The sequence below is a fragment of the Homo sapiens genome, chromosome 7, assembly GCF_000001405.40.
Source record: "Homo sapiens chromosome 7, GRCh38.p14 Primary Assembly".
NCBI classification, from domain to species: Eukaryota; Metazoa; Chordata; class Mammalia; order Primates; family Hominidae; genus Homo; species Homo sapiens.
The window spans coordinates 134,568,885-134,581,164 of record NC_000007.14 but is presented as its reverse complement, the minus strand read 5'-3'; the positions used below and the strand labels follow the sequence as shown (position 1 = coordinate 134,581,164).

General features: G+C 44.4%; 1 protein-coding gene across 6 annotated transcripts in view; it reads right to left on the bottom strand.

Annotated features, from left to right (window-relative positions):
- Window positions 1–1,295: 1,295 nt before the first annotated feature.
- The window catches only part of AKR1B15 (aldo-keto reductase family 1 member B15), a 30,760-nt gene continuing 19,775 nt past the window's right edge, over window positions 1,296–12,280 (bottom strand). For 3 of the 6 annotated variants that reach the window (NM_001080538.3, NM_001367821.1, NM_001367820.1), the window contains 8 exons: window positions 11,636–11,752; window positions 9,484–9,561; window positions 5,623–5,745; window positions 5,238–5,344; window positions 4,735–4,816; window positions 4,119–4,202; window positions 3,379–3,461; window positions 1,296–1,658 (listed from right to left, as the gene is read on the bottom strand). In NM_001080538.3, coding sequence (NP_001074007.2) covers window positions 1,616–1,658; window positions 3,379–3,461; window positions 4,119–4,202; window positions 4,735–4,816; window positions 5,238–5,344; window positions 5,623–5,745; window positions 9,484–9,561; window positions 11,636–11,752 — 717 coding nt within the window. In that variant the 3' untranslated portion in view covers window positions 1,296–1,615. Of the gene's footprint in view, window positions 1,659–3,378; window positions 3,462–4,118; window positions 4,203–4,734; window positions 4,817–5,237; window positions 5,345–5,622; window positions 5,746–9,483; window positions 9,562–10,690; window positions 11,753–12,280 lie in introns of those variants that run through there. The other 3 variants (NR_160301.1, NR_160302.1, NM_001367822.1) reach the window with 1 other exon arrangement.

Below are 12,280 nucleotides of genomic sequence, written 5' to 3'. Positions count from 1 at the left end.
GATCAGTTACACGTGATGGAAGAGCTGGGCTATTGAAAGGAGATGAGGCAACTAGTTTAGCAGCAGCAGGAAGAGATCCCCTCTCCTAAGGAAGAAGGACAAAGAAAGAGGGCTGCTTCCTCATCCCAGAAGCTTTGTCTGGTAGGAGATAGAATCAAGGTGGAGGCTGCCTGGGAAAAAGCTGAGCCCACAGAGGAATGTGGCTTCTACTGGAGATGCCACTCAAGGTCAAGAGACAGGGAGAGAGGGAGAGAGAAATGCCTGGCTCTTCCCTTCTCCAGCCCTTCAAGCTCCTAACTGTACCTCTCACTGAGCAAACCCAGGGGAAGTCATAACATAGCAAGGAAGCTTGGGAATTAGATGTACCCCCCAGCCTCAACCAGAGGATGTGGGGACTCACCAATTTAGGATAGGCATTTGCCTCTTGAGAGGGAGTCAGGGGAATGGGGATGGGGAGAGGCACAAAGTGGTCCTCGACTACATTGGTAACCCCTAATTTCCTAATTTTTTTTAAAGGTTTGGAGCCAATATGGCAAAAGGTTAGCATTTCTTTTTTTTTCAGACAGTCACTCTCTGTCACCCAGGCTGGTGTGCAGTGGTGCAATCTTGGCTCACTGCAACCTCCACCTCCCAGGTTCAAGTGACCCTCCCACCTCAGCCTCCGGAGTAGCTGGGACTACAGCACAATACCCGGCTAGCAATTGTTAACATTTTAATGTTGGCGGCCAGATGCTCATTAGTTTATTTCCTGTATATTTCTATATAGTTGGAATATTTCATAAGAAGCAATTATTATAGGACAAACAGAAATGTTCCAGATTAATGGCAATAGTAAGTATCTTTATTGTTTTTCCACCCTACTTCCCAAGGAAATGCCGCACCTCTCTCAATGAACACTAGCATCTTTGTGGAGTTTGCAGGTTCTGCCATTGACTCTTTGGCACGATGGTGTATTGAAGGCAAGGTGGGAGAGCATGATAGGGAATGAGTGGAGACAGGCAAGGAGGAGAGGTGGCAGGAAAAGACTCAGGAGGAAGGGATGACCATCGATTGCTGTGAGCTGGATCCCAGAGCCTGCCTGCCTTTGAAACTTGGTTCAGTCACTTACTACCTGGGTGGCCTTGAGCAAGGTCCTCCTCCCTCCCTGCATCTCTATTTCCTCTTCCAGGAAATGTGAATAAGAAGATGTTAAAAGTACCTACCCCAAAGGGGTTATTTTGAGGATTCAGTGAATTCACCCACAGGAAAACACTTCAAATTGTGTTGGCGCATAGTACACTCTCAATACATGTTGGTTAAAGTCATTATTTTTTATTATTTATCTTTACATCCTCAGTGTTGGCAGAGTTTCTGGTGCTTAACAGACATTTGATCAGATCAGATAAGTGGAAAAAATTGTCATTTGCTTATTCAGGCCATGCTTTTCTGTGATATTCTTATCCTAGTTGAACATACAGAAATACATGTCTAAAACAGCACCTCCATTCTGGTCTACAACAGGACAAAGTTCACTGTGATCTCAGATAAGCTTGGCTAAAATAGTTCTTGAGTGGAGACAGTCACACTTCAGCGAAGAAAGAGAATCCCCTGTGTAATCTCACCAGGAGATTCAACCTCAATATTCTGCATCGAAGGGAAAGTCCTCCAAATGAGAGAATCTACAGAGAGAGAGAAAAAAAAAAAGAAACTGTGTTCCATCAAAGCAACAACTCTCGCTGAGAAGGTATTCTTCTCTGGTGGACTCTGTGGTATTTGTGGTCTCTCAGCCTCCTCCCTGCAAGAACACAAGAAGGGTGCTTACACCTTGACCTTCCTTCAAATCGATATGAGGGTTTTGCTAGGAAGGAGGGCAGACAGTGAGCAGGGCAGCAGAATAAACTCGTAATGACAACTCACGGTAAGCCTGGTGTCAGGCGAGGTGACAGACAAGTCTTGTCCCAATCCACTCTCACAACATCATGAGGTAGGAAACAACAGCAGAATTGACAGCTTGGGGATTGTTATGAGTATTAAATGAGATAATACCACCGGAAAAGGGCTCAGGACCCTGGCACATTCTAAGCTAAGGTTCAATGGATGTTAGCTGCGATTAGTATTATCATCCTACTTTATAGGTAAAGAAACCAACTTAGAAAAACTAAGAAATTTGCCCAATGTCACACAGCGAAGAAACCAGTGTTAGAGTTGGATTTGAGGCCAGGTGGATTTACTTCTGAGTCCACCAACCCATTGCCTACACCAGAAATGATGCTCATAGGAAAGTAAGTGTTTTAGTTTGGGGGAGAGTCACATCTTATGTTCACCCTTCCTTTTTACTCTAAATAGCTGCTACTTTGTTAAGCACGGATGAAACTAAGCCATTGTAAGATGAGGAAAGGCTGCTATGATACTGAGGGTGGGCAGGATAGATATGGAATATCATGACATGCAAGCAACGCTTGAGATACTGAAATCATTTTTAAAAGCTGAAAAATCATTTTTGGCTACACAAATATTTGAAGAAATTCAAATTGCCATTGAATTGCAGACCTCGCAGTAATAAATGCCAGACAATTCTATTTGATATATGTAATTAGACACATTAATCAGAAAGTATTGATTCTAAAGAGATGATGTAGAATTCCCGCCTAGCCAGAGTGAAAGACTTTTTTTCAACAACTTATCTGAGATTTAAAGTAAAGTTAGCACCACCTCCTTTAAGAGGCATTTGGAGATGATTTAATCCAGCCTCCCTGGCCTTCTTGCTTGAATGCTCTAAACACAATCCCACCTCAGGGACTTTGCACCTGCTGTTATCACTGCCAAGAATGCTCTTCCCCCAAATATACATATGGCATATCCCTCACAGCAAAGCTTCCCTTGACCCAACCCGTATAAAGGATCAGTCCCACTACCACCTACCACTTCCTGTCCACTTTGCCCTACTTTACTTTTCTGTCTAGCATTTGTTGCTGTCTGACATCAATATTTTGAGTTGATTTATTTCTGTTGTCTCTTCTTCCCTCCCTCCCTAAGCCTGTGGAGGCAGCAGCTTTGTACAGTATGATAACCCAAGCACCTAGAAAATGCCTGGCACACAGATGACCACTAGATATTGACTGAATGAATGAATAAATGAATGTTCTGCCTCCTGCCTATTGATAACACACCTTCTCTTACAATTCTAGCTCTACATCCAGAAGTTCAGACAATAAGCAGCAATTAGAGATGTGTCCCTTACAGTGATTCCCAGGTACCCAAATTTTAACTTTCAAAACTGCCCCAAAATAGTATTTGAAGACACAAGTAGTCCCAACAACCTTCTAATCCTTCCAACTAACCCTCTACCAGTTTAGAAAAACTCCTGGCAATTCTTCTAGTTAACTCCATGCCACTTACTCCTTGAAGTCAAAGGCCCTCCAGTTTCTGTTGAAGCTGAGTATGGTTGCCATCTCCTCATCACTCAATTTAAAGTCAAAGACCTAGAAAGGAAAGAATTCCAATACATTATCGGTAAGGCTGTTACTGCTGTGGCTGGAGACTGCCGGCCATTCTAGCAGGGAGGGAGCTCACATTCACAGCACAAACTGGCCATAGGAGTTTTTCCCATTCTGTCCAAGGGATACAAATTTTTCTCTAAATTAGGTCCTACACAAAGACCACAGTATTTGTAGTGCTCAGTGTTCTGGGGGGAGGGAGACCAGGCTCACAGGCACTAAACCCCAGGCGTGCACAGGCCCTGTGCTCCATGACAGGTGCTTCTAGAGGACACTTCTCCAAGGACAGTTCACACCTCCTCTGCTGCTGGGAGGTGAGCAGGTAGGCCAGGACAGTCTGCTCTTGTGTATGGCCTAGGGCCTAGCTGCTCAGGGGCAACTGAGGGTCTTCTCAGTGGTGTGAGGCACAACTGTGCTCAGACCTGATAGGGCTTTACCAGGCACTGCCCCCAGGATGTTCTTAGCCCATGGGTCATTCATCTCAGCTCTACCGAGCCTAGCTCCCTGGGCTGGAAAATGATAGGGTGGTGGGGAAGGAGGGGGCCAAAGACAGTGCAGGGATGAGGTGAGAAGCCTAGTGAGAAGGTCTGCCTGTCCCCCACTCCACTGAGGAATACCAGGCCCGACCAGCCGGAAACTTACCTGAATGTTCTCAACAATGTGTGCTGGTGTCATAGACTTGGGGATCACTGTCACATTCCTCTGGATATGGAAACGGATCAGAACCTGTGCAGAAAGGGGACATCATGTTTCCACTCAGCTACAAGGACCCCTCCTTTTATGGAAAGGAAGAATAAAACATCTCTGCAGCTCACTGTGGCTTCAGGTACAATCGCTAATAATTACTGAGCCCTTCACAGCTATTAGACTTGTGCCAGACCCCCACCTCTTTCTCTCCCTTCACCTTAGAGACAACCCTGTGATCTTCCTTTTTTAGGAATGAAGAAAGTAGCTTGGGGGTCATAAGGCTGATCAGAGGTAGAGTTGGCATCTGCACCCATATCCCTAGACTCCAAAGCCATGCTTTGCCACTGGGCTGTAGGGCTTGACAGGAAGCTGTGAGACAGAAGCTATCTTTGCTTCAGTGACAGCTCTTGTGTTTCCTAGAGGTTCCAACAGACTTCAAAGGAAATACTTTAGAGGGCTTCAGCTCCTGTGTTCTTCCCCTTTAAGGAGTCAGTTGAGGACAACACGAGAAATGAAACATGAGACTGGAAGCATGAGTGGTTGGATAACAAGAAAAATAAAAATATGGTACCTGGGCTGTGGTTTTTTTGTGCTTTGCAGCAATCTCCTTAATCTTGGGATCCTCCAGCAGGGAAGGGTCCTCAGGTTTGGCCCTAGGGGCAGAAAGATGCTGATGTGAATAATCACCATGGCTACCGTGTACAGAAGGACACCACTCCAATGAGGGTCTCAAGACTGATCATCAGAGCCTCTCCATCTGGGAGACAGGCAGGAGGACCTGGAAGCTTGGGTCCTTTCCCCGGGCTCTGAAGCCTCAGCATTTTGCAAGCCTGGTTCACCCTTGGGTGGCTGAACTGGAAATATTCCCAGAGGGTCAAGCATGTCGCCCTTGTTGTTGTTGTTGTTGTTTAATTCCCATTTTTTCCCACTGCCATCCCATTTGTGTGTACCAAACGTGTTACCTTACACACATTTTTCTTTCCAGTAACTTATGGACCCATACCGACATTTACCAATTATAAAATAATGTTTTTAAGATTATCAAGAGAAAGACCCACCACTTGGAAGCCTCACCAAGGTCTATCCGGAGAGCCCAGGGGGCTGTAGGCCGTAACGGTGATGCCCTTGGAGTGGCAGTACTGGATCAGTTTCTCCTGCGTGAGGTATGGGTGACACTCAACCTGCAACAGCAAACAATCCTCATCACGGGGAAAGCCGGCTCTGTTTTGCATTGTTCCTAGGGAGTTCTACACACAAAAAAAGTCCACCAAGCAAAGGCCAAACAAGTGCGCACTGAGATTCTTGCTAAATCACCCATGAGATCAGCCTCACACCTCCCCAAAGTGTCCTGATCACTGACCCCTGAGATAAGACTCAGGGCATAGCATTGAACATTCCCCCCGCAATGTTTAAGAAGTAATAGGGCAGGACCCTTACCCTTAAACTGAATAGAATTTACCTGGTTAGTCACTGGTTTATATTTCAGTCCAGGTTTGTTCAAGAGCCTCTCGATCTGGAAGTGGTTGAAATTTGAGACCCCAAGGGCTTTCACCAGCCCCTCGTCCACCAGCTCCTCCATGGCCTATCATAGAAAGGAATACCTTATGGGCAGCTCTAGAGGGACTACAGGGACCCTGGCTTGCCTTAGTCTTCCCTGGGGCAGAAATTGCTAAAGGATCCACCGCAACAGAGTTAGCTGAAGCATTCACAGGAAATTTCAGTCCAGGGCCTGGGTGCCCATCAGTGATTGGTTCCAGCCCTACTGCCCCTCCCCAGCCCAAGAAAATCTAAAACTAACAGGTAAAGATTTTATGTTCTTGCCACTCTCACCTTACACGTAAAGAAACACATAAAAAATTATAGTTCCATACACCATGGAAATATGAAAGTTTTATCATGAAAAAAATAAATAAAAATCAACATTTGTAAGCTTATGAGATGATTTAATTTTTAATGAATCCAAATGATAGCAGGGAGCTACTGTTGTGTGTGTACATTGTACACCCAAACCTGGGCAAGCTGTGTTAGTCAGGAAGAGGCTGCAGCATACGGAGAAGCCTCACCTGTGGGTCCTGAGTCACTGTCTCCCACACCAACCATGGCTTGGTTTGCAAGAAGGTCATGCATATAAATTACGCCCTAGCAGGGGCACCCGGCCACGGAGTTGTGTGGGGCTAAAACCTGACCCACTGTTTGCATATCCAGCCATGCTTCCTGGTACAGAAGCTGCATGGACATGCAAGGAAGGGAATCTTTGTATAATTTTTAGCCTTTATTGGGCATTTTCCAAACTTGCCCAAAGATATCATATATGTTAGCAGCAGCCTCCAATGCAACATGTATTTAGTAGCCATCTATTACATGTTCTAGATCCTGCCCAGAAGTTGTCAAGATGTAAAAGTATACAATGTGCTTCCTTCTTCTGGGATTCTTACAGTCCAATTAAAGTGCTAGAGTTCCCTTCTATGGAGCCATCAATCATGACACTGAGGCTGCCTCAGATAACATGACAGTGGCATAGACAGAGTCAGAAAGGCAGAGAAGGAAGAGATTCACACAGCCCGCAGTTGTCAGGGGAGTCCTTTCAGGTAGAGTATAAGCTGGGCCTCAAAAAACAAACAAACAAACAAACAAAAACCCCGAGAGAGAGAAAAGAGGGGAAAAACATGAGCATATGACACAGGAAGGCAGGAAGGCAGGAGCAAAGCTCAGAGGCAGGGATGAGCATGACATGTTCAGGGAACACTTTATGCAGCCCTTCTCAATTTTGGCTGCAATTTGGAATCACTAGTGAGCTTTGAAAGGTACTGGCTGGATGCAGTGGCTCATGACTAATCTCAGCACTTTGGGAGGCTGAGACAGGAGGATTGCTTAAGGCCAGATGTTTGAGTCCATCCTGGGCAACATAGCAAGACTCTGTCTCTACCAAAAAAAAAAATTTGTTTTAATTAGCTGGATGCGGTGACGTGTGCCTCTGATCCCAGCTACTTCAGAGGTTTACTTGAGCCCAGGAGTCCAAGGCTGCACTGAGCTATGATCATGCCATTGTACTCTACTCTGGGCAACAGAGCAAGACTCTCTCTAAATTAAAAAAGAAAAATGACTGATTCCTGGATTTCATCCCCCAGAGTTTCTTACTGATTTTGTCTGAGTTGTAGCCTAGACATTGGGATTTTTAAATTCCTCAGGTGATTCTAATGCCCAGCCAACGTTGAGAACCACTAGCATAGATTAAGTTATTCAAATTGGGAAGTAGAGTTTGGAAGCTATGAAATCATAAGTTTCCCAAAAACTTCTGATTCAGCAATTAGATAATTTAAAAGCTTTTGTGCATCATAGGTCAGGTTAGTTTTCCCGTATTAAAACTTGACTTCTTTATACTTTTTTCCTCCCCTCTGCTTCAGGGTAGTCAATGAGGTTTCTACTGAACTGGTTGTGGGTCTACATAAACATCCAATGCTTACGTATTCAAGCATGCTCGTTTCAAATCAGAGCCTCTGAACTTGATCAATGATATCTTTTCATGCCTTTCAAATGTTTTCTTTAGCAGTCATCCTCATGTTCATTAAGAAAACATAGCACTGTGAGAAGCAGGGTACATTGACATACTTGCCATACTTCATATCATCATAGGAGCTAAGGCAAAAACACAGATCAAATGTAATGCAAACAGCCTGGTGCTATAGCTCACGCCTGTAATCTGAACACTTTGGGAGGCTGAGACGGGTGGATCCCTTGAGGTCAGGAGTTTGAGACCAGCCTGGCCAACATGGTGAAACCTCATCTCTACTAAAAATATAAAAATTATCCATGTGTGGTGGCATGCACATGTAGTCCCAGCTACTTGGAAGGCCAAGGCAGGAGAATGGTTTTTACTTGGTAGAGGGAGGTTGTAGTGAGCCAAGATGGTGTCACTGCACCCTAGCTTGTGTGACAGAGTGAGAATCTGTATCAAAAAAAGAATGCTGTGCTTGTGGATTAATGCTTTTGAACAAACAATACACAGAAAAAACTACATTTAATTGAATCATGTCAATTCTAAGCATTTCAGAAAGGTGAGGCTTAATATATTTTCCCGTGTAAAACACAATACAAACTCGCAACTACATGCACCCCTACACAGACAGCTGCCAAGATAACATGATTAACTCTTGGAGTTATATGCCACTGTTCATTTATATCTTATTTCTCCAATTCGTTCTCTATTAGCATTTGCAAAAGGACATAATGGTATAATAAAAAATGGCCAGAGAAAACATTCATCCCTTAATTCATTTTCAATATGAAATGATGTGAAACAGGTCATGGGTTTGATCTGAGAAGCAGGGCACTCAGGCTCCCTGATTTTCTTTTTTCTTTTTTTTTTTTTTCTTCAAGATGGTGTCTTGCACTGACGCCTGGGCTGGAGTGCAATGGTGCAATCTTGGCTCAATGCAACCTCCACCTCCCAAGTTCACACAATTCTCCTGCCTCAGCCTTCCAAGTAGCTCACATTCCAGGCACACACCACCACACCTGGCTAATTTTTTGTATTTTTAGTAGAGACAGCGTTTTACTCTGCTAGCCAGACTGGTCTCAAACTTCTGACCTCATGATCCTTCCACCTCGGCTTCCCAAAGTGCTGGGATTACAAAGTTCCCTGATTTCCGGATGTGTGTTCACTGCTTACCAAGCACCATGCTGATGGTTTTGGTGGTTGGACTTGCAATTCAGATGAGTCTGGGTCTAATCCCAGCTCTGCCACACACATTGTGACATGACCTGGGCAAGTCACCAACCAATCTAGGTTTCAAATGTCATTATTTATAAATGGGGATGTTAACCCTGTCTCCTAGGGTTAGATGATTACATGGGCTTTATGACTGATGTTCCCGGCACGTAAACCATCTTAAGTTTTATCACACCCCGAAAGATATATATTAGTAGTATGTATTATAAGACCTTTTTTCTTTAAAGAGAAAACTGAGCCCTACAAGAGTTACAAAACTGACCCTAGGTTACTCAGCTGCTATGAGCAAACCCAGGCCCAAACCCTCTGTTCCAAATGCCTCACCCTGGTTTGAGAACAGCATGTGTATTCCCCAAAGTGGGGTACATTGTATTTCCAGTCTTATTTGAAGACTCAGTAGTAGGCTTGAAATATAAATAGTATCAGATGCACCCAAAAGCCAAAGGTGATGAGGAGGATATTAGAAGAGCTAGAGAATCACAATGATGAAATTAGAAAGCATCAGGCACATGGCCTCTTTCATATCAATGGGAATCTCATGGATAACTGAGGATTTCTCTCCCAGCACACTTAGACAAAGCTGGAACCTACCTCCCAGGCATCCAAGAACGTTCCTTTTCCACTGATCATATTACCTTTATCATCTTTGGGGAAAAAGTCATCCCCAGTCTGTAAATACAGAATGAAAAGTTTACTGGAATCTGCATCAGGACACTTGGTTCTGTTCAACAAGGTTTCAGGATCCTGATGCTTGCTAAATACCACATCTGCATACCACTTTTTCAAGCTCTGGAGTACATACTACAAGAATGTGAGTTTAAATAAAATCTCTATATCTACTGTAGCATATTAATCCCTATATTTTTAGAAACTACTGGATTGACTTTAAGATCCTCTGTTAGTACATTCCAGAAGCCACCATTATCACCATGGACATTAACCTCACACACCTACATCCTATACACACCCAAGGGCAAACTTTCATTTCAGTATCACTGGATAAAGATTAGATCTCCAGGGTGTGGTTTTCTGGAGAAGATATTGGCCAACTTCTATCCTTGCAGCCTCTAGAAGAGGCGTGGAATTCGGGATGGCAGGCCATCATCACTCCAGCTGGTCAGGAGGGGAGAGAGCTGGAAATTTGTCTCCCCCACCCCTCAGGAGCAGGTAAGAGCAGAGCCCCAGGCAATGGGTGCTGGGATCACTACTGGCTTCCTTCCAGCATCACCATACTTGGACTTTTCTCCAAGATGCCACTGCCAGGTGTGCTTTGCTTAATAAAATAATTAAGCCCTGGAATACAGTTATGGAAGAATAACCCAAGAGGTTTCCTGGGAGGGCAACCCCAGGGCATGGAATCTAGACAAAGGTGATATGGCAGTTACAACTTGTCTGGGCTGCCAGAAATCATGTCTTCTCTCAGACATAACTGCAAGATAACCCAGGCATGTGAGCACCTCAGCAGCGCACATGGCCTTAGCCTCCCTTCCAGCCAGCATCTTTCTGCTCCAAGGTCTCTTCCTGACCACCTGCCATTCCCAATTATGAAGTGCAAGCTCTCCTGCTCCAGTCCACACCACTCTGCAGCCCTGGTGCAGCTACTACTTTCTGGCACCTGCTCAGTATTGGGTGAATCCGCCCCTGATAATTCATCGTTATTTCATGTAGGTTCTTTTCTATTTCCCTAAGTGTTGGCTGGTCTGAGAAATAAAGGGAAAGATTACAAAGAGAGAAATTTTTAAAGCTGGGTGTCCGGGGGAGACATCACGTTTCGGCAGGTTCCATGATGCCCTCAAGCTACAAAACCAGCAAGTTTTTATTAGTGATTTTCAAAAGGGGAGGGAGTATACAAATAGGGTGTGGATCACAGAGATGACCTACTTCACAAGGTAATAAAATATCACAAGGCAAATGGAGGCAGGGCAAGATCACAGGACCGGGGCAAAATTAAAATTGCTAATGAAGTTTCGGGCATGCATTGTCATTGATAACGTCTTATCAGGAGACAGGGTTTGAGAGCACACAATCGGTCTGACCAAAATTTATTAGGTGGGAATTTCCTCGTCCTAATAAGCCTGGGAGCACAACAGGAGTCCGGGGCTTATTTCATCCCTTATCTACAACTGTAAAAGACAGCCGTCCCCAGAGCAGCCATTTTAGAGGCCTACCCCTAGGAGCGCATTCTCTTTCTCAGGGTTGTTCCTTGCTGAGAAAAAGAATTCAGCAATATTTCTCCTATTTTCTTTTGAAAGAAGAGAAATATGGCTCTGTGCTGCCCGGCCCACAGGCAGCCAGACTTTAAGGTTATCTCCCTTGTTCCCTGAACATCGCTGTTATCCTGTTCTTAAGGTGCCCATATTTGATATTGTTCAAACACACATGCTCTACAAACAATTTGTGCAGTTAATGCAATCATCACAGGGTCCTGAGGCGACATTCATCCTCAGCTTACGAAGATGATGGGATTAAGAGATTTAAGTAAAGACAGGCATAGGAAATCACAAAAGTACTGATTGGGGAAGTGATAAATGTTCATGAAATCTTCACAATTTATGTTCAGAGATTGCAGTAAAGACAGGCGTAAGAAATTATAAAAACATTAATGTGGGGAATTAAGAAATGTCCATGAAATCTTCACAATTTATGTTCTTCTGCCATGGCTTCAGCCAGTCTCTCTGTTGGGGGTCCCTGAATTCCTGCAACAGCTCAGAAACTAGAGGCTGAGAAAGGGAGTCACTCAAACCTTGAATCCCTGTGGCCAGTGAATAAGATAGACGTCCAGATAGCTCAGCTTCAGGTCCTTGAGGGTCTTCTCAAAGGCTTTCCTCACAAGGGGTCTCTCAAAGAAAGTGGGCCACACCTGCAAAGAGTGTAGCAATGAGCTAGTAATACTGGGAAAAGGAAGGGCCACATTATACTCATTGTCCCTGCTTTTTGATTTGCATCCTCATCTAACCTGGCTCAGGCCATCTATAACAAAGCTGATTAAGATCCACGATGCAGTGTGGAAGATCGCCAGGGCTCAGCACCTCAATGACATGTCTTAAGTTTTAAAAGCAGTTGACTTTTTCAACTCTCCTAGTACTCTATAAGTGTCTCAGATCATTTAAGTAAATGTGGCCACAGATTTGAAATTTGTTTACCTGTCTCAGTCTCTTCCTCAGCTGTGGGCTCTCTGAGAGCAGGAATTGCGTGTAGCTTTTAAATGTCAAGCATTCTTAGGCCTTTGGGAATAGATGGCCCTTTATCTGACCCATCTGATAGGTCCCTTATCAAGCCTATCAGGACCCAAGTGATAACTTTAAAAGGGCTTTATCCAGACTTGGCTGCTACACAGTGGGGTCTATTTGTCCCACCAGATGTAAGCATTTTCCAAGTACACAGAACT